Raw genomic sequence first — 27,909 nt, 5'->3', positions numbered from 1 at the left:
ATGGGGAAAAAAGTGAGCTTCTCGTTCCAGGGATCCTTCCTGTTCTCTGTTTTCAGTGTGGGCAAGCAAACCAGGGCCCTATGGACTCTAATACTAAAGAATGAATTATAGACCTGAATAGTAATGTGATAGGGCTAGTGATTTCATCAGTGACCACGGTCCTTGTCATTGCTTTTTAGATGTATGTGTGTATTTGGGTGTGCCAATGTATTAAATAACTTATTTGTTTTAAAACATAAATTGTGTTTTTTCAAAAATACTCATGATGAATTTGGCAGTATGAGAAATGCACTTTATATATATATATTTCTGCAGTCGTAGTAATTGAATAAACAAATAGGTTACATCATTAATTTTTGCAGTCATCCCATGTACTATCACTCTTAGTTTGGTCCTTTTCCATCAATCTTTTAGACCTTTACTCAAATTATTATATTAAAAAAATAGAATTTTTTTAAATGCTAAGTAATGATGGTATTTATAAAAAGTTGCTTACTTTATTCCACATTTGGTTTTAAGTTTTTTTGTTTCGTTTTGTTTCTAAGAGTCAGTCTCTCTATGTCGCCCAGCCTGGTGTCCTCCCACCTAAGCCTCTCAAGTAGCTGGAACTACAGGCCTGCACCACCGCACCTGACTGAAAACACTGATTTTTTTTCACTTTTCTCTCCAAACTTGTTTTTCCATTTTTCTTCCAGCCTCTTATAGTTCATTTTCATATATTAGTTTTTATTACTTTGTAAAGGCAGTCGATTTCTTTTTGTTCTAATTTATATTTTTTCAGAAATTAGATTTTAATCTTGATATTTTTTAGTTTTGTTTAATGCCTACCTATTATAAATTAGAGATTTCTATGCCTTACTTGTCAATGGGAAATGTTATACCACTATTAAGATTAAAAAGCATAGTAATGAATATTTTTACAGATGTATTTGTTGTTCCTCCAGACCAATATCTAAGCTTCAATGCAAAGCTCAGTTTGATTTTAGAAATATTTCACATGTTCTCATACTTCCTTATCCAAACATTCTGAAGAGTTTCTATGCTTTTCATGTCCTCTGCCTCTCAACTGTACTTTTATGACATTAATGTCCTTAGAGTTGTAGTGTTGGACTAGTTTTCCAGAATCTCATGGTCTTTTTAAAACTTATTTTGATTCCATACTGTTAGCTTTAGATTTTTCCCAAGTTCACTAAATGGGATCCTTCAGGGAGGTGAAATTGTAGTTCATGGGAAAATCATGAGACATCATTCAGTCTGTGCTTAAGTATGCAACATGGTCCGGCATTTCGGTGAGGACAAATGAAATATCTCTTAGCTTCAAGGTAAAAAGTCGACCATTCTCTTGATATTCCAGTAAATACCAAGCTACAAACAACCAGACACCACAAGGAAATGTAGACATTGTACTACACTATGAGAAAAGTTCAAAGATGGGCTATTGTCTTTAATTTACATGAAGATTTATGTGACAGAAATGTATCTGGAGGAGATGGACATCCTCCAAAGAATGTGTCTTCTACCTAAGAATACTGTTTGCCATTGACAGTAAATAGCAACTTTGACCTAGTTGTGTGTGGCCTAACATGAAACAGAGAGTTAGTAATTATCTGTAAATCTGGATTGTCATCTGGATCATTTGTGGTATCAGTCTATTTTTTATTCTCCTACCACTGGGGCATGACCCTTGTGCAGGTGACAGGATTTGCATTTTTGTTAACTTGTGACTTCTAAGAAATCCCCTTTTTTACAAAGGGAAAATTTAAGGTCTCCCATATTGTCTTATATGCTGAATACTGCTCCTTGAGTTTAGATTGCCAATTTTGGCCTAATGGTTTTATCTTCCAGAGATCTCAAAAGCAAATAATTCTGCTGCCATTTTTCTTAAATGCCTTTCAAATATTTGGTTGGAAACAGAAGACTTCTCTCTTACTCATCTGGGTAAAACTCATTTACTGTTTTTCCTTTTAAACTGTTAGCTCAAGTGACCTTACACACAAGTCCCAGCTGTGCATTAGCATTGCTTGGGGATGTGTTTGTATCTTTTGTCTAAAAATACCCAGCCGGCAGGATTCATGATCCATGAAAGCTAATTGAAACAATTTCTCTTCAAGTTTTGGCAAGCGAAGCATGCATTATAAGCATTAATATCTATAAATTGAATTGTTAATGAATCTGGACACTAATAATGAATGCAATTTTGCAGGCTTAACTAGAAACACTAAAATTATCAGGATCTGCAGCAGAAATTTCAATCATTTTGCCTATTAAATAGCAAAGCTATGCTTTTAATAAGCTAATCATTTTTATTTGACCCCATAGGAATAGCTCAGTTGATTAGAAACAGGTTTCCTAGCGCAAAACAATGTTGTTTTTCTCTTACTGTTTTAACCACCAAAGCACTGAAATTTTAAGATGGATATTTCATCTCATACTCTGTGTCTTTTAATCACATTTGTACTTGTACTCAGTGTTTCCAGAGATATTTACTTATTCCATTTCTCCTCTATTAGGCTGTATCTCTCATTCATATATATGTATATAGAGATGGATAGATACTGAAGTTTTTAGAATAATGTCACAATCATTTTTAAAACGGTCTCAATAGGACGGGTACAGTGGCTCACGCCTGTGATCCCCGTACTTTGGGAAGCCAAGGCCAGCGGATCACCTGAGGTCAGGAGTTCAAGACCAGCCTGGCCAACACGATGAAACACCGTCTCTACTAAAAATACAAAATATTAGCCAGGCGTGGTGGCACATACCTGTAATCCCAGCTACTTGGGAGGTTGAGACATGAGAATTGCTTGAACCCGGGAGGCAGATGTTGCAGTGAGCCGAGATTGCACCACTGCACTCCAGCCTGGGCGACAGAGCGAGACTCTGTCTCAAAAAAATAAAAAAGTAAAAAATAAATGGTCTTATTTCACACGTAACATTTTAAAAATTACATTATCAAGGTAATACAGTTTTGAGCTTTATGGTTGCCTTTCTGCGACTTAGGAAAGGATATATATTTCCATTTGAGTATCATCTCCTAAAACTTCCGCATAACACTAGTTTATAGAGCAGCAAAATCCCAACATTAAACAACAATGGAGTGTTTTCTCCCTAGTGCTTGAGTGACTTCGAGATCCTAAGCCATGTACTTAGAGGCACACTTAGTGCATAGTAGCTGTGCACCAAATAGTTGCCAAGTTGCCTGAGAGAGTTAATGCACCTTTCTGTGTCCTTTCACTTACTACCTGGGAATGACTTAAACACTAGGGAGAGTGAAACAGTAATAACAGGGAATATGTGGCATCTCTGTATATATTATCATGAGGTGCCTGAAATTGGAATTCAAAGTACCTTATCTGATTGTATCTTTCCCAACAAATCTTAAGGATATTGACAATTATCTGGACTTCAATTGTGGAAAAGTAAAATGCTGAAGTCTAGAAGTTGAGTCTGATAGTAAGTAGGGGTTTTTGCTTTGAAGGTTATGGGTTGGAATTTTTATGGAAGGGTAAAGGGAAAGGGTTATTAGGATTCTTTGGTATTGTTTATTTTTCTTCAGTGTTGTTGCATATTTCTTTTGACTACCAGGTTTGAGAATCTATAATTCATTTAAGGGAATGAATTCAGGAATTCATACTCACGCAGAATTCCTTAGGAATGTAGAGTATATTCATTGCATTACCATTTATATAGTCGCTTTCAGGATTTGTCAGCCAGCATAGATGTGATAATTATAGACATGCACATTTGTTTCTGATAGCTATTCACTTTACTGAACTGAAGCTTATACTTTGATTCTCTTATAAATGGCTTCATCAAATGGCAACTGAATGCTCTTAGAGCATTTTGTACTGCATTTCTCAAAATGACTGAATAGGAAAAGCTGCCTCTTCCCCCAAAACCTTCAGAGAACACTCATTTCTTACATATTAAGCTTTCACTACTTTCTGGGATTTTCAATCAAGATTTTAAAGTGTTTTTTAAATTGAATTTAGTCTTTTTTTTGTTTTTACCCTGCTATTAATAAAATTTGTGTTGATGAGTTGACTTTTTAAAAAAATCTATAAATCTGATGAAATTAGTCCTTGTATTACAGTCTTCCCTGGATTTAACTACCTATTTTTATTCCAAGGATATGTAATTTTTTTCCAAGACACAAGGTCTTGCTGTGTTGCCCTGGCTGGAGTACAGTGGTGCAATCATAGCTCAGTGCAACCTCAATCTCCTAGACTCAAGCAATCCTCCTGCCTCAGCCTCCCATGTTGCTGGGATAACGGGTATGAGCCACTATGCCCAGCCCAAGGATATGTAATAATCTAAGTTTTATCATCAAAATATTCACCAGAATTGCCTAAGTCATTTGGCAATCATTTTACATGGCTTTTTGAAGTACAGAAATAATATATACTTCTGAATAAGCAAGAGGTTTTTGTTTTTTATTTGCCATTATCTGATCAATTTCATGAAAGTTAATTCCATAGACGAGTCTTAATTGATAAGATCAATATATTGTAAGTAATTATTGATCCTCAGGATAAACCAAGTAGTCTTCTATTTTTTTTCTTACCCAAACTGATTTTTCTATATCAGTTTAGTTTTGTTTTTTTTTTTTTTTTTTTAGTTTCTATAATATCCTGGTCATGTGATAGTTACTTTAGAAAAATGACACAAAATCTTTATCATAAAATTAGTTAGGAGGTGTGCTGCAATTATCACTATAATATTTGATTTCATCCTATCTGTTTCTTGTTTCTTTTTTTTTTTTTTTTTTTTTTTTTGAGACAGAGTCTCGTTCTGTTGCCTATGCTGGAGTGCAGGGATGTGATCTCGACTCACTGCAACCTCCACCTCCTCGATTCAAGCAACTGTCCTGCATCAGATAGCTGGGATTACAGGCGCACGTTTTTGTATTTTTAGTAGAAACGGGGTTTCACCACGTTGCCCAGGCTGGTCTCCGGCTCCTGACCTTCACTGATCTTAGCCTCCCGAAGTGCTGAGATTACAGGCATGAGCCACCGTATCCAGTCCATCCTGTCTCTATGTCTAAAAAATGTTTTTTAAAATATCTGTAGTGTAATAAATAGAAGGACCAAAATATGTGTTACACTGAATGACATTCAGGGCAGGGTTGAGTTGAAAGGATATTTCTAACACAAACATTTTCCATTTTTTATGAGTGCTTTAGGAAGATAACATCCTATGAAAGAAATTAAAAGCAATAAGCCTGGGCAACATAGCAAAAACCCATTTCTTTTTCTATTTTTTTTTTTTTTTCAGGCAAAGTCTCACTCTGTCACCTAGGCTGGAGTGCAGTGGCACAATCTTGGCTCACTGCAACCTCTGCCTCCTGGGTTTAAGTGATTCTCCTGCCTCAGCCTCCTGAGTAGCTGGGGTTACAGGCACATACCACCACGCCTGGCTAATTTTTGTATTTTTTTTTATCATACTTTAAGTTCTAGGGTACATGTGAACAACGTGTAGATTAGTTACATATGTATACATGTGCCATGTTGGTGTGCTGCACCCATGAACTCATCATTTACATTAGTTATATCTCCTAATGCTATCCCTCCCCCCTCTCCCCACCCCACAACAGGCCTCGGTGTGTGATGTTCCCCTTCCTGTGTCCATGTGTTCTCATTGGTTAATTCCCACCTATGAGTGAGAGCATGCAGTGTTTGGTTTTTTCGCCTTGCGAAAGTTTGCTGAAAATGATGGTTTCCAGCTTCATCCATGTCCCTACAAAGGACATGAACTCATCATTTTTTATGGCTGCATAGTATTCCATAGTGTATATGTGCCACATTTTCTTAATCCAGTCTATCGTTGTTGGACATTTGGGTTGGTTCCAAGTCTTGCTATTGTGAATAGTGCCACAATAAACATATGTGTGCATGTGTCTTTATAGCAGGATGATTTATAATCCTTTGGGTATATACCCAGTAATGGGATGGCTGGGTCAAATGGTACTTCTAGTTCTAGATCCCTGAGGAATCGCCACACTGACTTCCACAATGGTTGAACTAGTTTACAGTCCCACCAACAGTGTAAAAGTGTTCCTATTTCTCCACATCCTCTCAGCACCTGTTGTTTCCTGACTTTTTTCATGATTGCCATTCTAACTGGTGTGAGATGGTATCTCTTTGTGGTTTTGATTTGCATTTCTCTGATAGCCAGTGATGACGAGCATGTTTTCATGTGTCTGTTGGCTGCATAAATGTCTTCTTTTGAGAAGTGTCTGTTCATATCCTTCGCCCACTTTTTGATGGGGTTGTTTGTTTTTTTCTTGTAAATTTGTTTGAGTTCATTGTAGATTCCGGATATTAGCCCTTTGTCAGATGAGTAGATTGCAAAAATTTTCTCCCATTCTGTAGGTTGCCTGTTCACTCTGATGGTAGTTTCTTTTGCTGTGCAGAAGCTCTTTAGTTTAATTAGATCCCATTTGTCAATTTTGGCTTCTGTTGCCATTGCTTTTGGTGTTTTAGACATGAAGTCCTTGCCCATGCCTTTGTCCTGAATAGTATTGCCTAGGTTTTCTTCTAGGGTTTTTATGGTTTTAGGTCTAACATTTAAGTCTTTAATCCACCTTGAATTAATTTTTGTATAAGGTGTAAGGAAGGGATCCAGTTTCAGCTTTCTACATATGGCTAGCCAGTTTTCCCAGCACCATTTATTAAATAGGGAATCCTTTCCCCATTGCTTGTTTTTCTCAGGTTTGTCAAAGATCAGATAGTTGTAGGTATGCAGCGTTATTTCTGAGGGCTCTGTTCTGTTCCATTGATCTATATCTCTGTTTTGGTACCAGTACCATGCTGTTTTGGTTACTGTAGCCTTGTAGTATAGTTTGAAGTCAGGTAGTGTGATGCCTCCAGCTTTGTTCTTTTGGCTTAGGATTGACTTGGCGATGCGGGCTCTTTTTTGGTTCCATATGAACTTTAAAGTAGTTTTTTCCAATTCTGTGAAGAAAGTCATTGGTAGCTTGATGGGGATGGCATTGAATCTGTAAATTACCTTGGGCAGTATGGCCATTTTCACGATATTGATTCTTCCTACCCATGAGCATGGAATGTTCTTCCATTTGTTTGTATCCTCTTTTATTTCCTTGAGCAGTGGTTTGTAGTTCTCCTTGAAGAGGTCCTTCACATCCCTTGTAAGTTGGATTCCTAGGTATTTTATTCTCTTTGAAGCAATTGTGAATGGGAGTTCACTCATGATTTGGCTCTCTGTTTGTCTGTTGTTGGTGTATAGGAATGCTTGTGATTTTTGTACATTGATTTTGTATCCTGAGACTTTACTGAAGTTGCTTATCAGCTTAAGGAGATTTTGGGCTGAGACCATGGGGTTTTCTAGATAAACAATCATGTCGTCTGCAAACAGGGACAATTTGACTTCCTCTTTTCCTAATTGAATACCCTTTATTTCCTTCTCCTGCCTGATTGCCCTGGCCAGAACTTCCAACACTATGTTGAATAGGAGCGGTGAGAGAGGGCATCCCTGTCTTGTGCCAGTTTTCAAAGGGAATGCTTCCAGTTTTTGCCCATTCAGTATGATATTGGCTGTGGGTTTGTCATAGATAGCTCTTATTATTTTGAAATACGTCCCATCAATACCTAATTTATTGAGAGTTTTTAGCATGAAGGGTTGTTGAATTTTGTCAAAGGCTTTTTCTGCATCTATTGAGATAATCATGTGGTTTTTGTCTTTGGCTCTGTTTATATGCTGGATTACATTTATTGATTTGCGTATATTGAGCCAGCCTTGCATCCCAGGGATGAAGCCCACTTGATCATGGTGGATAAGCTTTTTGATGTGCTGCTGGATTCGGTTTGCCAGTATTTTATTGAGGATTTTGGCATCAATGTTCATCAAGGATATTGGTCTAAAATTCTCTTTTTTGGTTGTGTCTCTGCCCGGCTTTGGTATCAGAATGATGCTGGCCTCATAAAATGAGTTAGGGAGGATTCCCTCTTTTTCTATTGATTGGAATAGTTTCAGAAGGAATGGTACCAGTTCCTCCTTGTACCTCTGGTAGAATTCGGCTGTGAATCCATCTGGTCCTGGACTCTTTTTGGTTGGTAAACTATTGATTATTGCCACAATTTCAGCTCCTGTTATTGGTCTATTCAGAGATTCAACTTCTTCCTGGTTTAGTCTTGGGAGGGTGTATGTGTCGAGGAATGTATCCATTTTTTCTAGATTTTCTAGTTTATTTGCGTAGAGGTGTTTGTAGTATTCTCTGATGGTAGTTTGTATTTCTGTGGGATCGGTGGTGATATCCCCTTTATCATTTTTTATTGTGTCTATTTGATTCTTCTCTCTTTTTTTCTTTATTAGTCTTGCTAGCGGTCTATCAATTTTGTTGATCCTTTCAAAAAACCAGCTCCTGGATTCATTGATTTTTTGAAGGGTTTTTTGTGTCTCTAATTCCTTCAGTTCTCCTCTGATCTTAGTTATTTCTTGCCTTCTGCTAGCTTTTGAATGTGTTTGCCCTTGCTTCTCTAGTTCTTTTAATTGTGATGTTAGGGTGTCAATTTTAGATCTTTCCTGCTTTCTCTTGTGGGCATTTAGTGCTATAAATTTCCCTCTACACACTGCTTTGAATGTGTCCCAGAGATTCTGGTATGTTGCGTCTTTGTTCTCGTTGGTTTCAAAGAACATGTTTATTTCTGCCTTCATTTCGTTATGTACCCAATAGTCATTCAGGAGCAGGTTGTTCAGTTTCCATGTAGTTGTGCGGTTTTTAGTGAGTTTCTTAATCCTGGGTTCTAGTTTGATTGCACTGTGGTCTGAGAGACAGTTTGTTATAATTTCTGTTCTTTTACATTTGCTGAGGAGTGCTTTACTTCCAACTATGTGGTCAATTTTGGAATAGGTGTGGTGTGGTGCTGAAAAGAATGTATATTCTGTCGACTTGGGGTGGAGAGTTCTGTAGATGTCTGTTAGGTCCGCTTGGTGCAGAGCTGAGTTCAATTCCTGGGTATCCTTGTTAACGTTCTGTCTCGTTGATCTGTCTAATGTTGACAGTGGGGTGTTAAAGTCTCCCATTATTATTGTGTGGGAGTCTAAGTCTCTCTGTAGGTCTCTAAGGACTTGCTTTATGAATCTGGGTGCTTCTGTATTGGGTGCATATATATTTAGGATAGTTAGCTCTTCTTGTTGAATTGATCCCTTTACCATTATGTAATGGCCTTCTTTGTCTCTTTTGATCTTTGTTGGTTTAAAGTCTGTTTTATCAGAGACTAGGATAGCAACCCCTGACTTTTTTTGTTTTCCATTTGCTTGGTAGATGTTCCTCCATCCCTTTATTTTGAGCCTATGTATGTCTCTGCACATGAGATGGGTTTCCTGAATACAGCACACTGATGGATGGGTCTTGACTCTTTATCCAGTTTGCCAGTCTGTGTCTTTTAACTGGAGCATGTAGCCCATTTACATTTAAGGTTAATATTGTTATGTGTGAATTTGATCCTGTCATTATGATGTTAGCTGGTTGTTTTGCTCGTTAGTTGATGCAGTTTCTTCCTAGCCTCGATGGTCTTTACAATTTGGCATGTTTTTGCAGTGGCTGGTACCGGTTGTTCCTTTCCATGTGTAGTGCTTCCTTCAGGAGCTCTTTTAGGGCAGGCCTGGTGGTGACAAAATCTGTCCGCATTTGCTTGTCTGTAAAGGATTTTATTTCTCCTTCATTTATGAAGCTTAGTTTGGCTGGATATGAAATTCTGGGTTGAAAATTCTTTTCTTTAAGAATGTTGAATATTGGTCCCCACTCTCTTCTGGCTTGTAGAGTTTCTGTCGAGAGATCCGCTGTTAGTCTGATGGGCTTCCCTTTGTGGGTAACCCGACCTTTCTCTCTGGCTGCCCTTAACATTTTTTCCTTCATTTCAACTTTGGTGAATCTGACAATTAGGTGTCTTGGAGTTGCTCTTCTTGAGGAGTATCTTTGTGGCATTCTCTGTATTTACTGAATTTGCATGTTGGCCTGCCTTGCTAGATTGGGGAAGTTCTGCTGGATAATATCCTGCAGAGTGTTTTCCAACTTGGTTGCATTCTCCCTGTCACTTTCAGGTACACCAATCAGACGTAGATTTGGTCTTTTCACATAGTCCCATATTTCCTGCAGGCTTTGTTGGTTTCTTTTTATTCTTTTTTCTCTAAACTTCTCTTCATGCTTCATTTCATTCATTTGATCTTCCATTACTGATACCCGTTCTTCCAGTTGATCCAATCAGCTACTGAGGCTTGTGCATTCGTCATATAGTTCTCGTGCCATGGGTTTCAGCTCCATCAGGTCCTTTAAGGACTTCTCTGCATCGGTTATTCTAGTTAGCCATTCGTCTAATTTTTTTCCAAGGTTTTTAACTTCTTTTCCATGGGTTCAGACTTCTTCCTTTAGCTCAGAGTAGTTTGATCGTCTGAAGCCTTCTTCTCTCAACTCGTCAAAGTCATTCTCCATCCAACTTTGTTCCATTGCTGGTGAGGAGCTGCGTTCCTTTGGAGGAGGAGAGGCGCTCTGGTTTTTAGAGTTTCCAGTTTTTCTGCTCTGTTTTTTCCCCATGTTTGTGGTTTTATCTACCTTTGGTCTTTGATGGTGACATACAGATGGGATTTTGGTGTGGATGTCCTTTCTGTTTGTTAGTTTTCCTTCTGACAGTCAGGATCCTCAGCTGCACGTCTGTTGGAGTTTTCTGGAGGTCCACTCCAGACCCTGTTTGCCTGGGTATCAGTAGCAGAGCCTGCAGAACAGCGGATATTGGTGAACAGCAAATGTTGCTGCCTGATCATTCCTCTGGAAGTTTTGTCTCAGAGGAGTACCCGGCCATGTGAGGTGTCAGTCTGCCCCTACTGGGGGCTGCCTCCTAGTTAGGCTAGTCAGGGGTCAGGGACCCACTTGAGGAGGCAGTCTGTCCGTTCTCATATCTCCACCTGCGTGCTGGGAGAACCACTGCTCTCTTCAAAGCTGTCAGACAGGGACATTTAAGTCTGCAGAGGTTTCTGCTGCCTTTTGTTTGGCTGTGTCCTGCCCCCAGAGGTGGAGTGTACAGAAGCAGGCAGGCCTCCTTGAGCTTTGGTGGGCTCCGCCCAGTTTGAGCTTCCCGGCCGCTTTGTTTACCTACTCAAGCCTTGGCAATGACAATGACGGGCACCCCTACACCAGCCTCACTGCCGCCTTGCAGTTTGATCTCAGACTGCTGTGCTACCAATGAGCGAGGCTCCATGGGCATAGGACCCTCCGAGCCAGGCACGGGATATAATCTCTTGGTGTGCCGTTTGCTAAGACCGTTGGAAAAGTGCAGTATTAGGGTGGGAATGACCCGATTTTCCAGGTGCCGTCTGTCACCCCTTTCTTTGACTAGGAAAGGGAATTCCCTGACCCCTTGTGCTTCCCGGGTGAGGTGATGCCTCGCCTTGCTTCTGCTCCCTCTTGGTGCGCTGCACCCACTGTCCTGTACCCACTGTCCGACACTCCCCAGTGAGATTAATCCGGTACCTCAGTTGGAAATGCAGAAATCACCCGTCTTCTGCTCTGATGCTGGGAAATGTAGACTGGAGCTGTTCCTATTCAGCCATCTTGGCTCCACCCTCCCCTAATTTTTGTATTTTTAGTAGAGATGAGATTTACACCATGTTGGTCAGGCTGGTCTCGAACTCCTGACCTGGTGATCCACCCGCCTCAGCCTCCCAAAATGCTGGGATTACAGGCATGAGCCACCGCGCTTGTTGCAAAAACCCATTTCTACAAAAAAAAAAAAAAAATTAGCCTTGCCAGTCCTGGCTATTCTGCATGCTGGGCAGGAAGATCACTTGAGCCTAGGTGTTTAAGGCTACAGTGAGCTATGATTGAGCCACTGTACATCAACCTGGGTGAGGGTGACAGGGTGAAACCTTGTCTCTTAATAAATAAACAAAAAGCAATCAAACATGAATATAAGAACAATTCTTACCGGGTGAAGAGGCTTATGCCTGTTATCCCAGCACTCGGCGAGGCCGAGGCAGGAGGATCGCTTGAGCACAGGAGTTCCAGTCTAGCCCTGACAACGTAGCAAGGCCCTGTCTCTACAAAAAATTAAAATATTGGCTGGGCACAGCCAGGCGCAGTGGCTCACTCCTGTAATCCCAGCACTTTGGGAGGCTGAGGCAGGTGGATCACGAGGTCAGGAGATCTAGACCATCCTGGCTAACGTGGTGAAACCCCTTCTCTACTAAAAATACAAAAAATGAGCCTGGTGTGGTGGCTGGCACCTATAGTCCCAGCTACTCGAGAGGCTAGGGCAGGAGAATGGCCTGAACCCGAAGGTGGAGCTTACAGTGAGCTGAGATCGCACCACTGCACTCCAGCCTGGGCGACAGAGGGAGACTCATCTCAAAAAAAAAAAAAAATATTGGCCAGGCGCAGTGACTCACACTTGTAATCCCAGCAATTTGGATGGCCTAGGCGTGTGGATCACATGAGGTCAGGAATTCAAGACCAGCCTGGCCAACATGGTAAAACCCTGTCTCTACTAAAACTGCAAAAATTAGCCAGGTGTGGTGGTGGCTGCCTGTAATCCCAGCTACTCAGGAGGTTGAGGCAAGAGAATGGCTTGAACCCAGGAGACTGAGGTTGCAGTGAGCTGAGATCCCGCCACTGCACTCCAGGCTGGGCGACAAGAGCGAAACTCCATCTGAAAACAACAACAAATTACCTGGGCGTGATGGCACATGCCTGTAGTCCCAGCTACTTGGAAGTGGCTGAGGTGGGAGGATGGCTTAAGCCTGGAAGGTTGAGCCTGCAGTGAATTGTGATTGTGCCACTGCACTCCAGCCTGGGCAATAAAATGAGACCCTGTCTCAAAAAAACAGAAACCCAAAAGAACAATTCCTTTGCAAACTTAATTCTTGACCATCATCTTAAAATATTCCTTTCAGTTAAAATAACAAGATTTAAGCCTCGTTAGTTTTAGAAGTCTATTCTGTAATTCTCATTATGAAATTGCAACAACAGGAATGATTTTATGCCAACTCCCAAGCTAATACCTAAAAGTCATATGATTAGGCATAGCCAAGACTCAGAATTATTCTCTTTAAATCTTCCCTTTGCTCCTCACAGTATCTTCTTATACTCATGTAAGACAAGAGATCAATGGAAATGTTCACATTGTTGAGAAACCCAGCCATCCAAACACATACTAGGATGGGTAAATTATGGGACTTTGAAATTATGTAATACCATCTATTCTTAGAAGTTAACTTAGAAGTGCCTTGAGGGCATTATGTTTCTTATGTCACCTTTTTCTGTCATTATGACCACCCATTAGCCTCTTTTGCATTATGGTGCAGGATTTTATTGTGGGTTCTAAGACTATATCAATTACAACTTCATCTTAACTGCTGTGGATTAATGTTATATTTTCTTATTAAACAAGTAGTTCAGAAGTAGTTAAGCACTAATTAGCTATTTGAGAGAGTCATCAAGGACCCAGTTTCTCTCTGACAGCTTCCTGTTTTTCTATCTTTAATGGGTAACTTTTGTTCTTCTAGTCAAAAAATGGTTGTTCCGACTGCAGACATTACATCCACATCTCAGGTAATAAGGAGGGAAAAATAACAAAGGCAAAAGGCAGAAATCTTCTTGCTAAGCTATATGTTTACTAGGAAAGAGAAACCCTCCTCAAGGGCTTTCATTTATTTCTCATTAGCTAATACTGTTACCTGGTTACCTTTGTGAGGGAATATGAGATGGTGAAATTAAAAATATATATATATTTTTACATGTTTTTTTAGTAGCCAAGACATTCTTAAGCTTAAAATATCAGAGTGTGAAAGAGTTTATGGTGAAAATCTCACTTTTGTATCCACATCCCTGTCATTCTGTATCTTGCCTTACCTACCCTCCTCACAACAAATTACCACTGGTATTAATCTCTTTTTTAATCCTTCTAGAGATTTAAAAATGTATATGCAAGCACATCAAATATGTATTCTTCCCCCCTACTTTTTTTTTTTTTTTTTTAACATAAATGGTATACACAGTGAGTATCTTTAACCGGGCACAGAGCAGTCTCGACCAAAACAAACCGAGCAAGAGCTTGTTTTCTGTGTTTGTTGTTGTTGTTGTTGTTGCTTTGGAGATGGAGTTTCGCCCTTGTTGCCCAGGCTGAAGTACAATGGCGCAATCTGGGCTCACTGCAACCTCTGCCTCCTAGGTTCAAGCGATTCTCCTGCCTCAGCCTCCTGAGTAGCTGGTATTACAGGCATGCACCACCACGCCCGGCTAATTTTGTATTTTCAGTAGAGACAGGGTTTCACCATGTTGGTCAGACTGGACTCGAACTCCCGACCTTAGGTCATCCGCCCCCTGTAGCCTCCCAAAGTGCTGGGATTACAGGCATGAGCCACCACGCCCAGCCTTTTTTTCCTTTTTAAACAGGGTCTCACTCTGTTGCCCAGGCTTGAGTGAAGTGGCAGGATCTCAGTTCACTGCAACCTCTGCCTCCTGGTCTCAAGCAATCCTCCTGAGTAGCTGATACCACAGGCCGCACCACCACACCAGGCTAGTTTTTTACTTTTTTTGTAGAGACGATGTCTCACTATGTTGCCCAGGCTTTTCTCGAACTTCTGGGCTCAAGCAATCCTCCAACCTTGGCCTCCCAAAGTGCTGAGATTATAGGTGTGAGCCACCACACCTGGTAAGAGATTTTTAATAAGGAGGAAAGGAGGCTGGGTATTGGGAAGACAACTAATAATATCTGTCTGTCATGGACTGTTTTGTTTTTGCTTTTGTTTTGGTTTGACTTTAGTCCAGTAGTATCCAGACAGCAGTGAAACCATTGATTCTACTTAGCAATTGACAAAAGCTTAATGTTCTTTAAAACAGATACCTATGACTTCTGTGTAACACAGTGCCTTGTATGGAGAAGCAGATCAATAAGTGTACAAAATGGAGCCCATGGTGTCGCTTCCCCCTTAACTGCTCATCTTCAACTCAGTTAATGAAACTACTCTTTGATAAGTTATTCAGACAGAAATTAAGAGGCTATTCTTGATTCCAATCACTTCAGCCTCCAGATGCCTCTCCTTCTCTCATACAACACATCTCTTCAATCAGCAAGTCCTTTTGGCTCTACTTTCAAAAGATGTCCTCAACAGCTCACCCGCTCCACCACTACCTCAGTCCTGGGCCTGGTTGTCATACTCACTTGCCCATACTGTTGCAGTAGCTCCTTTACTTATCTCCGTACTTCCCTTCTTGCCCCCTACAGTCAATCTAACAAACAAAATGACCTTAAAAATAAATCATTTCCCTACATAAGACCCTCCAAAGGCTCCCAACTGTAATCAGAATAAAACCCAAAGACCCTACTGTGGCCCATGAGGCCCTTGGTACATCAGATGTTTGTCTACTTCGTCTCTTACTACTATAGGTGCTCTTTCTGTTTTTGAACAGCAAGCTTGTTCCTGCCCTAGTGTCATTACATTTTCAGTTCTCTTTGCCTAGAATGGCATCCCATATGCATATAAGGCCCTGTATTCAGAATTCAGTTTATTTGATACCCCCGCATGGCAACTTTAAGAAAAATCACCTATACAACCCTTCCTGCTTATACTTTATCATTTTCTATTTCATCATTGTTGTTTCCTTATAACACTCATAACTATCTAATGATAATTATTTGTATACTTGTTAATTTCTGTTTTTCCCCACTAAAACATAAGTTCCATGAGTATGAGGACTTTGGCTGTTTTTCTTTAAATTATTCAACAAATGTTTATTGAACACTTGTTATGTGCCAAATGCTAGTCTTGGTGCAGGAGTGATAACAATAAACAAAAGAAGCAAAAATTATTTCGTGGAGCTTTTATTTGTGTGTGGATGCGTGTATGTAGAGGGACAGAAAATAAAGATGTAAAATACATAGTATCTTAAGTGCTGTGAAGACAAATAAGCCAGGAAAGAGGGTGAGGACTGTCTGGATGTTGGTGGTTTTCAGTTTCTATTTGCTGTTTTTACAATAGTGCTGTATAACAAACTGCCTAAAAGTCAATGGCTTACAAACACCAGACATGTATGTTGGTTGATCTCCTAGGGTTCTATATATGTATACCAGGCTAGATAGGACTCCAGGGTATGGCTCAGGTTCAGGTGTTCTCCACATGTCTCCCATTCTTCTGGCACCAGTGGAATACCGAATTATGTTATTTTTGCATGGCCAAAAGCAGGAGTGCAAGAGACCAAGGCTAGCAGTGCAAACCATTTTAAGTCTCTGCTTGAATCATGTCTGCTAACTTCCTAGCAACCAAACAAATTGTATGGTCAAGGCTAAAGTCTAGGGGCTAGGACATACATTTGGCCACCATGACACCAGAAATGTAGATATGTGATAGTACTACACTCTGTAGTATAGAGTGAAGCATAGAGACTGATAATGTAATCCATTGTAAGGTCAGGGGAGTCCTTATTGTCATTTGAGTAAAGTGGGAGGTAAAGGAGAGGTGAAGGAGAGAATCATCTGGATATCTGGCGACAGAGGGACAGAGTGGTCCAGGCAGAGATTACAGCAAACACATCGTTTTTTGGAGATGTTTATGTCATAAAAGGGTCATTAGTTTTGGTTCTGAGTTCCCGGATAGAAACCATTAGTTAAAAAGAAGAGGCTGGGCGCGATGGCTCATTCATACCTGTAATCCCAGCACCTTGGGAGGCTGAGGTGGGCAGATCATCTGAGGTCAGGAGTTAAGAGAACAGCCTGGCCAACATGGTGAAACCCTGTCTCTACTAAAAATACAAAAAATTAGCTAGGCTTGGCCGGGTGCGGTGGCTCACGCCTATATTCCCAGCACTTAGGGAGGCTGAGATGGGCAGATCACCTGAGGTCAAGAGTTCGAGACCAGCCTGACTAACATGGTAAAACCCTGTCTCTACTCAAAATACAAAAAATTAGCCAGGCATGGTGGTGCATGCCTGTAATCCCAGCTACTCGGGATGCTGAGACAGGAGAATCACTTGAACCCGGGAGGTGGAGATTGCAGTGAGCCGAGATCATGCCACTGTACTCCAGCCTGGGTGACAGAGCAAGACTCTGTCTCAAAAAAAAAAAAAAAAAGAAAGAAAGAAAAATTAGACAGGCATAGTGGCGGGTGCCTGTTATCCCAGCTACTTGGGAAGCTAAGACAGGAGAATTGCTTGAACCCTGGAGGCTGAGGTTGCAGTGAGCTGAGATTGCACCATTGCACTCCATCCTGGGTGACAGAACAGTACTCCATCTCAAAAACAAGAAAAGAAGAAGAAAAAAGAGTTTCATACTGCCAGGAATATTTACTCTTTGTCCCAGTTAAAACCTGATGACAATATATTCGAAAGGATTTACTTTTAGAGCACTATGATCAGAAGTTGGCTTAGTTGGAAGTTGTTACTCAGGCTACAGATAATTTTTAAGGTCCTCTCTGTTCTTTCTAAACTGGATCCTGCTTCTCCCATGGGACCATCTAAGTCGACTGAAAACTGTCTTCTCAAACCCCTGCTAAGTATGTGCTCCACCAACTCTACTCTGTCCACTTCCTTCTTGTGGAACTTCACTGTCTTCTTTGGGAAACTTCAAATTTCCCCAAACTGGTTCTTTAAGACCTCTTCTTTCCATTTGCTTCTGCTTCTCTGCTCTCCTTTTGCCAACTTAGTTCTTTCATTCAGTTCCCTTGAATCATTGGTATTGTCCTATTTCAAATCCCTACCTCTTTTAGTGCACAGTTACGTTTAAGTTTTAGTCAAGTTGACCAATGTAGCTATAGTTTAATTTTCCTTTCCACTGCTATATGATGTATTTATTCTACTGTTAATGAAAAATTAGGCTTTTGCTACAAATTGTTTTTTCTTGCTACAAATAATGCTGATAAAATGTTTTTTGTATGTATATCTGATGCACACACACATCTAGTCTATATTCCATCTTTATCTGGGAGTGGACTTGCTGGGCCAGGGACTGTGTGGATCTTTAGCTTTATTAGAAATGCCAATTATTTTCTCCAAAGTGCTTATACTGATTTTTGCTTTCACTAATGATATGCATGAATTCCTCTCATTCTGACAACATCTATATTTGTTGGGATTTAAAAATATTTGTTGGCCTTGTGGTTCTGAAATGGTATCTTTTTATTTCAATTTGCAGTTACCTCATTAATAATAAGATTGAATGTCTTTTTTTTTTTTTTTTTTTTTTTGATGGAGTCTTGCTCTGTCGACTCCTGAGTTCAAACAATTCTCTTGCCTCAGCCTCCTGAGTAGCTGGGATTACAGGCGCATGCCGTCATGTCCCAGTAATTTTTGTATTTTTAGTAGAGACAGTGTTTCACCATGTTGGCTAGGCTGATCTCGAACTCCTGACCTTGTGATCCCCCCACCTGGGCCTCCCAAAGTGCTGGGATTACAGGCGTGAGCCACAGCATCGGCTGTATTGAATGTCTTTTCAAATGTTTATGGCCACTTGTGTTTTCTTTTCTCTGAACAGCTTTTTTGCCAGTTTTTCTATTCATTTTTCATTTGTTATTAAATTATGGTAGTCATTTAAATATTCTGGATGAGAATCTTTTGTTGAGTGTGTGTGTGTGTGTGTGTGTGTGTATAAAACATCTCTTAATTTGTGACTTTAAACGTTTTTTATTGTACTTTGTGATGAGTAAAAGCTCTTGATTTTAATGTAGTCCAATTTATTAATCTTTTTAAATAGTTAATGCTTTCAGTCTTTTGTGTAAGAAATCCTTTCCTGCTGTCGTATTATAAAAATTCTGTTATAAATTGTGTTTTACTGTTTTTACAGAAGAAAAATAGTACAGTATGTCTCTTACATTTAGGAATGTGCTCCACCTGGCAGTGATTTGGTGTGAAAGAGTTCTCTTGGTTCTCAGTTGCTGTACTACTACCACTATGTCTTTATCTTGGCTCAATAAGTGTTGGTGGACTGGGCGCAGTGGCTCACCCCTGTAATCCCAACACTGGGAGGCCAAGGCAGGCGGATCACAAGGTCAGGAGATCGAGACCATCCTGGCCAACATGGTGAAACCCCATCTCTACTAAAATACGAAAAATTAGCCGGGCATGGTGGCACATGCCTGTATTCCCAGCTACTCAGGAGACTGAGGCAGGGGAATTGCTTGAACCCAGGAGCCGGAGGTTGCAGTGAGCCAAGATGGTGCCACTTCACTCCAGCCTGGCGACAGAGCAAGACTCGTCTCAAAAAAAAAAAAAAAAGTGTTGGTGTTTGGAAGAGGAGTTTTGATAGGGCACATACCTTCAATTTGTCCTTCTTCGTGAGTATATTGGCCATTCCCTCCTCTTGGCTTTTTCATGTACATTTTATGGTCACTTGTCATGTTCAAGACAAAGGCTATTGAAATTTTTAAATTTATTGGTTGATTTCAGGTAGAATTGCTCTCCTTAAAACGTAGAGCCTTTAGGCCAGGCGCAGTGGCTCACACCTGTAATCCCAGCACTTTGGGAGGCCGAGGGGCGCTGATCACCAGAGGTTGGGAGCTCAAGATCATCCTGACCAACATGGAAAAACCCCATCTCTACTAAAAATACAAAATCAGCCAGTGTGGTGGCGCATGCCTGTAATGCCAGCTACTCAGGAGGCTGAGGCAGGAGAATCGCTTGAACCTAAGAGGCGAAGGTTGCGGTGAGCCAAGGTTGTGCTATTGAACTCCAGCCTCGGCAACACGAGCGAAACTTGTTCTCAAAAAAAAAAAAAAAGAAAAAGCCTTTTTATCATAAATATGCATTTATATCTTTCCATTTATTTATATCTTTTCTATTGTCTTTTAATAAAGTTTTAGAATTTTTAATCTTTTGTATATTTATTGCTGCATATGCTTTTTTGTTACATAAATGGTATTTTTTGAAATATTTTAAATATACAGATAAAAATAGAGAATAGTATAGTAAACACCTATGTGCCTAGTCCAAGCTTTGTAAAATGTTAGCACTGTGCATTATTCCCTGTTGCTGTTCCTTCTCCTCCAATTACATGTTAGAAATACAATTATTGTTCCCATTGTTTACCTCTCCTATTTCATTGTCCTCTCTCCCTCCTTCCCTAGTAGTGTTTCATGACAGATTTCCTTTTTCTTTTTTTTTTTTTTTTTTTGAGACAGGTTCTCACTTGGTCACATCGACTGGAGTGCAGTAGTGTGATCTCTGCTCACTGCCACCACCACCTCCTGGTCTCAAGCAGTCCTCCCACCTTAGCCTCCTGAGTAGCTGAGACTAGAGGTGTGCACTACCATACCCAGCTAATTTTTGTATATTTTTTTGTAGAGGTAGGGTCTCAACATATTGCCCAGGCTGATCTCGAACTCCTGGGCTCAAGTGATCCTCCTGCCTTGGCCTCCCAAAGTCCTGAGATTACTGGCATGAGCCACCTTGCCTGCCCAGAATTTTCATTCTTACACATGTTTTTATATTTCTACTATAAGTGTATTTATCTGCAAGCAGTATAAGTTACTAACTTGTATGTTTTATAACATGAATCGAATGATGTCCTTTATTAAAGCAGTAGCTTTTTTGTATCAGGAGAAAGTAGTCTTTCGGGAAAATCTTTTTACCTACACTATTGGTGACTTATTTTTCTCCGGGTTTATCACTGAAATATTCCACCTTTGGAATTTGGAACTCATGCTATTTTTTTTTTAATTTTTATTTATTTTTTTTTTAGGCATATAGGAAGCATTTAACAAATGCTTGTGGCTTTATTGATTGAACTTACAAGCTGCAGGCATACTTTTATTTATATGTAAATTTGTCTCTGCAAATTGATTTTTTTTTTAATTATTATACTTTAAGTTTTAGGGTACATGTGCACAATGTGCAGGTTAGTTACATATGTATACATGTGCCATGCTGGTGTGCTGCACCCATTAATTCATCATTTAGTGTTAGTTATATCTCCTAAAGCTATCCCTACCCGCTCCCCCAACCCCACAACAGTCCCCAGAGTGTGATGTTCCCCTTTCTGTGTCCATGTGTTCTCATTGTTCAGTTCCCACCTATAAGTGAGAATATGCAGTGTTTGGTTTTTTGTTCTTGCAGTAGTTTACTGAGAGTGATGATTTCCAATTTCATCCATGTCCCTACAAAGGACATGAACTCATCATTTTTTATGGCTGCATAGTGTTCCATGGTGTATATGTGCCACATTTTCTTAATCCAGTCTATCATTGTTGGACATTTGGGTTGGTTCCAATTCTTTGCTATTGTGAATAGTGCCGCAATAAACATACGTGTGCATGTGTCTTTATAGCAGCATGATTTATAGTCCTTTGGGTATATACCCAGTAATGGGATGGCTGGGTCAAATGGTATTTCTAGTTCTAGATCCCTGAGGAATCGCCACACTGACTTCCACAATGGTTGAACTAGTTTACAGTCCCACCAACAGTGTAAAAGTGTTCCTATTTCTCCACATCCTCTCCAGCACCTGTTGTTTCCTGACTTTTTAATGATCGCCATTCTAACTGGTGTGAGATGGTATCTCATTGTGGTTTTGATTTGCATTTCTCTGATGGCCAGTGATGGTGAGCATTTTTTCATGTGTTTTTTGGCTGCATAAATGTCTTCTTTTGAGAAGTGTCTGTTCATGTCCTTCTCCCACTTTTTGATGGGGTTGTTTGTTTTTTTCTTGTAAATTTGTTTGAGTTCATTGTAGATTCTGGATATTAGCCCTTTGTCAGATGAGTAGGTTGCGAAAATTTTCTCCAATTTTGTAGGTTGCCTGTTCACTCTGATGGTAGTTTCTTTTGCTGTGCAGAAGCTCTTTAGTTTAATTAGATCCCATTACTCATGCTATTTTTATTTTCGAGAAAGAAAATAGATTTTCTTTTTCCCTACAGAGGGGAAGGTATAAAATTTTCAAATGGAGGAGTATACCTGAACCTAATCATGGATGTGATTTTATGTAAGTAATATGTGAGGTAAGTATTTTAACTGTATGTTAATGAGATAAAATTTTGCTACCATTGATATTAGGCATTTTTAGCTTTTGCTTCATTGACCCACAATGCTATTTCTTATGCACCTAGGCAAAATAAGTAAATGATAAACAGCAAACAAATAAAAGGTAATCTAAATTATATATATTTCAAATCCCCCAAACCGAGATCCTTCTATTTTTATATATAACATTTCTGTTTAGCTTTCACACTGAATATAGAGTAGAAAAAAATAGTTACTTTTTTTGTTGGATAGTTGGTGATGACTGGAAGTAAATTCGAAGAATTTTCTTGATGGATTTACAAGTCTGATTTGGCTTTTCCCTGGTTGTGCATTCATTTTCTTCTAAAGTTTAAACATGTTGAAGTGGTTTTTGCCTACGTAAGCTATATATCAGACCATGTCTGTGTTTCAAGAAATGACACGTGGGCCACAGGCATGGTGGCTCATACCTATAATCCCAGCATGTTGCAAGGCTGAGGTGAGAAGATTGCTTGAGCCCAATAGTTTGAGTCTGCAGTGAGCCGTGATTGCGCCACTACACCCCAGCCTACACGACAGTGAAACCCTATCTCTTAACCAGCCGTGGTGGCACACGCCTGTAGTCCTAGGTGGCACATGCCACTGCACTCCAGCCTAGGTGACAGAGCAAGAAAGACCCTCTCTCAAAAAAGAAAAAAGAAAGAAAAAGAAAGAGGTGACACATGTATGCATATTTGCTTTTGTTACCTACTACTGTAATGCTTATTGACATGGTTAAAGGAACCTATTACTACCTTGCCTGAAAAGAGTGTAATAATTTCCCCATGGGTTAAAGAAAACAATGGAGATTTAAATGGAGTACTTCATGGAAAACTTAAGAATTCTAAAGATAAATTCCAAATACTAAGACTTCTGTCACATCACTTTTCAGTATTAGTGGTACTGTTTGAATAATTTAATCAGAAAGGATTATTTATTTTGTGGGTAATTTTAATAAGACCAGGTACATTATACCAAGAAGAATTGAAATAAGAAGTGACTTTTGATAGCCTTTTATAAAATATGCTGCCTGAGGATTGATAATATTTAAATTTTTATTAATTAAAATAGAAAAGATACTTAAACCACATAAAACAAAAGTTATTGTTTCAGAAGAAGGTAACAAAACCAGAGAGGAGAAAATATTCTAATATCATATATCAAATCTGGCTGTTTGGAGAGCTATAAACAACATCACACTCTCCATAGCTCTGAATATAGAGGGTAACTTTAATTTTTAAATTTGGAGAATTTAAACATTTTATCCAAAGGAAAGGTAAATATTTTGATTTTACTTCCTGAAGATTGCTTTTATCTGGGTTCTTGATACTGAAAATAGCATAACAGCAAATTCTGACTGCTGGCTTTTGTGACACCCCTATGTATATGTGGTCATGCAGCAATTACTGCACAATCCCTTTTTTCTCCATCATAGATAGAGAGCAAAGGATACACGGTAGCTTGGGTAGGTAGGATCTGCAGGCTCAAAGAAAGATTCCTGAATGTGGGCCTCTATAGCAGTAAATGGGAAATCCTATGAGCTTGTCCATCTGTACCTCTTTAATCCCCTTAGGTGTATATCTAGCTAAGGACTCTTGCCATGGTTGTTTTAGACACACTGTAAGGTGAATAGAAAAAGGCCACCGAAGCTTTTGTTTCTCAGCTATCTTATCTAGATAAACAATGACCTGCTGCCTCAAAGGAGGCTGCTTATTCAGAAAGCCAAACTGTGTAAATAACTAGTCTAGTCCTTCTGACCCCAGTCCTTCTGGCTTTTGTTTTTCCCATTTCTCCCCTTTTCTTATGATATTTATTACCCTTTTTTAAACTTGAAATATTTTTTAAAATGTAGAATGTTTACACATTATTAAATTCTACAGGGCAAAATGGTACCCACTGAACTATAATACCACCCATATATAGAAGACACATAGGTCTTCTTTCCAGAAGCAGCCACTATTACCCGTTTCTGCTGTGTATTTCTAGATATGTTTTATGCATATGTGAATATATAAAAATAAATGCATGCACATATGCTTTAAAAAACATACACCAGAAAAATAAATAAATAAAAAGCACACACCTACATGTACGGTAGTATTCTTTACAAACTGTTCTGCATCTTGCTGTTGTTTGCTTGATCACAGATCATGCCACATTAGTACCTGTAAAGCTGCCGTTTTTTTAAAAAATGAAGCGTTGCATTCTATTATATAGATGTCTATCTAACAAGTTTCTTCATTTTTGTCATCTAAGTTTTTTTCATTTTCTTAGTTATAAATTCATATCTGATGGATGTTACTGTCAAATAGTGATTTTATACCTGTATAGGTGTATCTAGGAACTGCAGGTTAAAATGTATGTACATTTTATTGGTTTTCTCTGTAATGTCTGTTTTTCTATTTCAATAATTTTCACTCACATATTCTTTCCTCTGCTTTCTTAGATTTAAATTTGTACTTTTTAAAACTTAGATGATTTTAAACTTTTCCCCCTAATGTAAACATTAAGAGCTATAGATTTTCCTTCAAACACTGTTTTAGCTGCACCCTTAATTTTTGATACGTTGTATGTTTATTATTCAGTTCAAAGCATTTTATAATTGTGGTTTCTTATTTGTCCTATATGTTATTAAGAAGCATATTACTGTAATTACAAATACTTGGGGCTTTTCTAAATATCTTTTTGTAATTGATTTCCAATTTGATTCTGTTTTGGTCACAATACAAACACCGTATTAGATCAGCTTTTAAAGTTTATTGAGACTTTAAAAAAATTATTGAGATGCATTAGAAGAATTGGTGAATGTTTTTTCTGCACTTGAATGTATGTTCTGCAGTTTCTCGATTTACTCTTCTAGAACTTAATTAGGTCAAGTTGATTGTTCAAGTTTCTATTCCCTCCCTCCCTCACTTCCTTCCTTCCACCCTTCCATCCATCCATCCATCCTTTTTTTGTTTTTACTTATTCATCTTACATAACTGCAACTTTGTACCCTTTGATCTACATACTCTTATTTATTCTAATTTCCTCTTCCCTGCCCTACCCCTTCCCTTGGTAATCACCAGTTTACTTTTTGTTTCTATGTATTATATGTATTTTTTCCAGATTCTACATATGAATGAGATCATGCAGTATTTTTCTTTCTATGTCTGGCTTATTTCACTTAATATAATGTCCTCTGGGTTCATCCCCATGTTGTCGTAAATGGCAGGATCTCATTTTTTAAGACTGAATAATATTTCATTGTGTATGTATATATGTATACCACAATTTCTTTATCCATTCACTCGTCAGTTGACACTCCAGCTGTTTCCATATCTTGCCTGTTGTGCATAAAGCTGTAGTAAGTGTAGGAGTGCAGATATCTTTATAAGGTGATGATTTCATTTCCTTCGGGTATCCTTCAAATTAAATTAAACTACATCACATATGTCTTTAAGCTCCTGTCATTCTTTGTGTTTTTGTTATCATATATTTTGCTTTGATTTCTACCATAAAACAACTTTACAATGTTTAAAAAAATTAAGATATGAAAAAAATATATTCTGTATTTACCCACACATTTTTCACTTCCAATGCTCTTCATTCCTTGTATACATGCGAGTTTACATCTGGTGTTTTAGTTCAGCTTGAAAAACTTCCTTTAACATTTTCTGTAGTGCAGGTCTAACAGCAAATTCTCTGAACTTTAGTTTGTCTGGGATTTGAAATTCCTTAAAAAAATCTTGATCAAACTACAGATTTTAGGTGACATTATTGATATTTCTACATAAAATAACCAGTTTCCTTGGTTGTTTTTTTTTTAACCCCTTTTTCTCCTGACTTTCCTTGAAGTCAAATGCTTCATTTCCAAAGTACAAGACGACTTTTCAACATTAATTAGTTGAAACCAGTTTGGAAACTGAGGGTTTCAGTAACTCTTTCCAGATGACTTCCTTTCACTGCCTGTCTCCTCTTTTCATTGTGCCAGTTGTTAAGGAATACCAGTTTATGTGACATTTTATGTAGGTGTTCTGTTTACAAAACCTCTAGTTTTATTAGCTATGAAGATTTGGTATGGTAGTCTCAGCTAACTCATTGCACTAGAGGCCTTTTTAAGAAGAAATAACACTAGAGTGTTGTTAAGACACTGCAAGTCTAATAGAAGGGTATTTTTTAACTTCTTGAAACATTGTCTGCAGTGATTAAAAGTTCTGTGTTTTTTTTTTCATGAGCAATTGAGGCCATAAAGAAAAGGAAAGTGAAGGGTTTTAAAGTTATACAATATTCATTTCCCTATTTTATAACTTAAGATCTTTTCTCTCTCAGTATCAAGATAAATAACTTTAGCAGGAGCATATACAGACCAGTCTTATCTCCATTGTCCTTAGAGGACTGCTTTTCAATTACCAGTCTTCTCTGTCTCCACGGAGAGGTCCATCAGCAAAACCTCTCAGATTTATCTCCAAAATAGAGCCCAAACTTGACTACTTCTCCTCACCTTCAATGCTTCCACGTAGTCCTAAGGTATTTTTTCTTTCTTTCTTTCTTTTTTGAGATGGAATCTCGCTCTTGCCACCCAGGCTGGAGTGCAACGGTGTAATATCAGCTCACTGCAATCTCCACCTCCCAGGTTCAAGCAATTCTCCTGCCTCAGCCTCCCAAGTAGCTGGGATTACAGGCACCTGCCACCATGCCTGGCTAATTTTTGTATTTTTAGTAGAGAGGGGTTTTCACCATGCTGGCCAGGCTGGTCTCGAACTCCTGATCTCAGGTGATCCGCCTGCCTCAGCCTCCCAAAGTCCTGGGATTACAAGCGTGAGCCGCTGTGTCCGGCCACTATTTTTTAAAATTTTAATTCAATTCAATTTATTTATTTATTTTAGTGTTAAGGTCTTGCTTTGTCACCCAGACTGGAGTGCAGTGGCGCACTGTAGCTTCGAACTCCTAGGCTTAAGTGAACCTCCTGCTTCAGTCTTCTTAGTAGCTGGGACTATAGGCGTGTACCAGCATACCTGGCTAATTTTTTATTTTTTGTAGAAACAGGATCTCATTATGTTGGCCGGGCTGAGAGTCCTAAGGTCTCTCTTGGTCTCTTATCTAGACTTCCCTAATAGCCTCTCAACCTGTCTCCCTGCTTCCACTTTTACCTCCTAAAAGTCTATTCTTCACATAGCAGCTAGGGTCAGCCTTTTATAATCAAAGTCATATTATGTTAATTCTCTGCTGAAAACCCTCCAGTGTTTTCCCTTTATGTTTAGAATAGCAACCAGTTTTCACCATGGCTTACAGTATCCTACACAGTCTGGTTCTACCTCTCAAATGACCTACCATTTTATCTCTTACTCATTCTGTACCAGACACACTGGCCTCATTGCTTTTCCTTGAACATGTTAAGCATGCTTGTTTGCTGGGGTTTATTCTTTTCTTTTTTTTTTTTTTTTTTTTTTTGAGACGGAAGCTCACTCTGTCACCCAGGCTGGAGTGCTGTAGCAGAATCTCGTCTCACTGCAAACTCCACCTCCTGGGTTCAGGCCATTCTCCTGCCTCAGCCTCCCGAGTAGCTGGGACTACAGGTGCCCGCCACCGCGCCCAGCTAATTTTTTGTATTTTTAGTAGAGACGGGGTTTCATCGTGTTAGCCAGGATGGTCTCGATCTCCTGACCTCATGATCCGCCCGCCTCGGCCTCCCAAAGTGCTGGGATTACAGGAGTGAGCCACCGTGCCCAGCCTGCTGAGGTTTATTCTTACTGTTTCCTTTGCCTGGAATGTTCTCCCAGATATTCTCAAAGCTCACATCATCTGTTTATTCAAGTCTCTGCTCAAAGTCATATCACAGAGCACTTTTCAATTAGCAGCTCTCCCCCTTTGTCTCCTTGCTAACATAGTCACTCTCTATTTCTTTATCCCTAATAAATGAAGAGAGATATCAGGAATATTATGGAGGCTAAGTG

General features: G+C 39.2%; 1 long non-coding RNA gene across 4 annotated transcripts in view, besides 2 other annotated features; it reads left to right on the top strand.

Moving 5' to 3' along the window:
• Window positions 1–27,909, top strand: part of LINC01572 (long intergenic non-protein coding RNA 1572) — a 384,069-nt gene that overhangs the window by 72,603 nt on the left and 283,557 nt on the right. For 3 of the 4 annotated variants that reach the window (NR_126330.2, NR_159372.1, NR_159370.1), the window contains exon 2: window positions 21,853–21,933. The exons of the other annotated variant lie outside the window; for it this stretch is intronic. This is a non-coding gene — a long non-coding RNA (long intergenic non-protein coding RNA 1572). The remainder of the gene's footprint in view (window positions 1–21,852; window positions 21,934–27,909) is intronic. 4 annotated transcript variants of the gene reach the window in all.
• Window positions 1,775–1,834: an enhancer, noted in NCBI's record as "active region_11097". NCBI's record gives its function as "activates an Ori minimal core promoter by ATAC-STARR-seq in GM12878 lymphoblastoid cells {active_cell/tissue: GM12878}" and the evidence as "EXISTENCE:reporter gene assay evidence [ECO:0000049][PMID:35858748]".
• Window positions 27,212–27,381: an enhancer, noted in NCBI's record as "experimental_44155 CRE fragment used in MPRA reporter constructs". NCBI's record gives its function as "activates a minimal promoter by MPRAs in K562 erythroleukemia cells, with activity observed for the non-introgressed 16:72598971 variant allele {active_cell/tissue: K562}" and the evidence as "EXISTENCE:reporter gene assay evidence [ECO:0000049][PMID:34662402]".

Source organism: Homo sapiens, chromosome 16 (assembly GCF_000001405.40).
Source record: "Homo sapiens chromosome 16, GRCh38.p14 Primary Assembly".
Lineage (NCBI taxonomy): Eukaryota > Metazoa > Chordata > Mammalia > Primates > Hominidae > Homo > Homo sapiens.
Note: the sequence above shows the minus strand (reverse complement) of the source record. Positions and strands in the feature narration are given on the sequence as shown.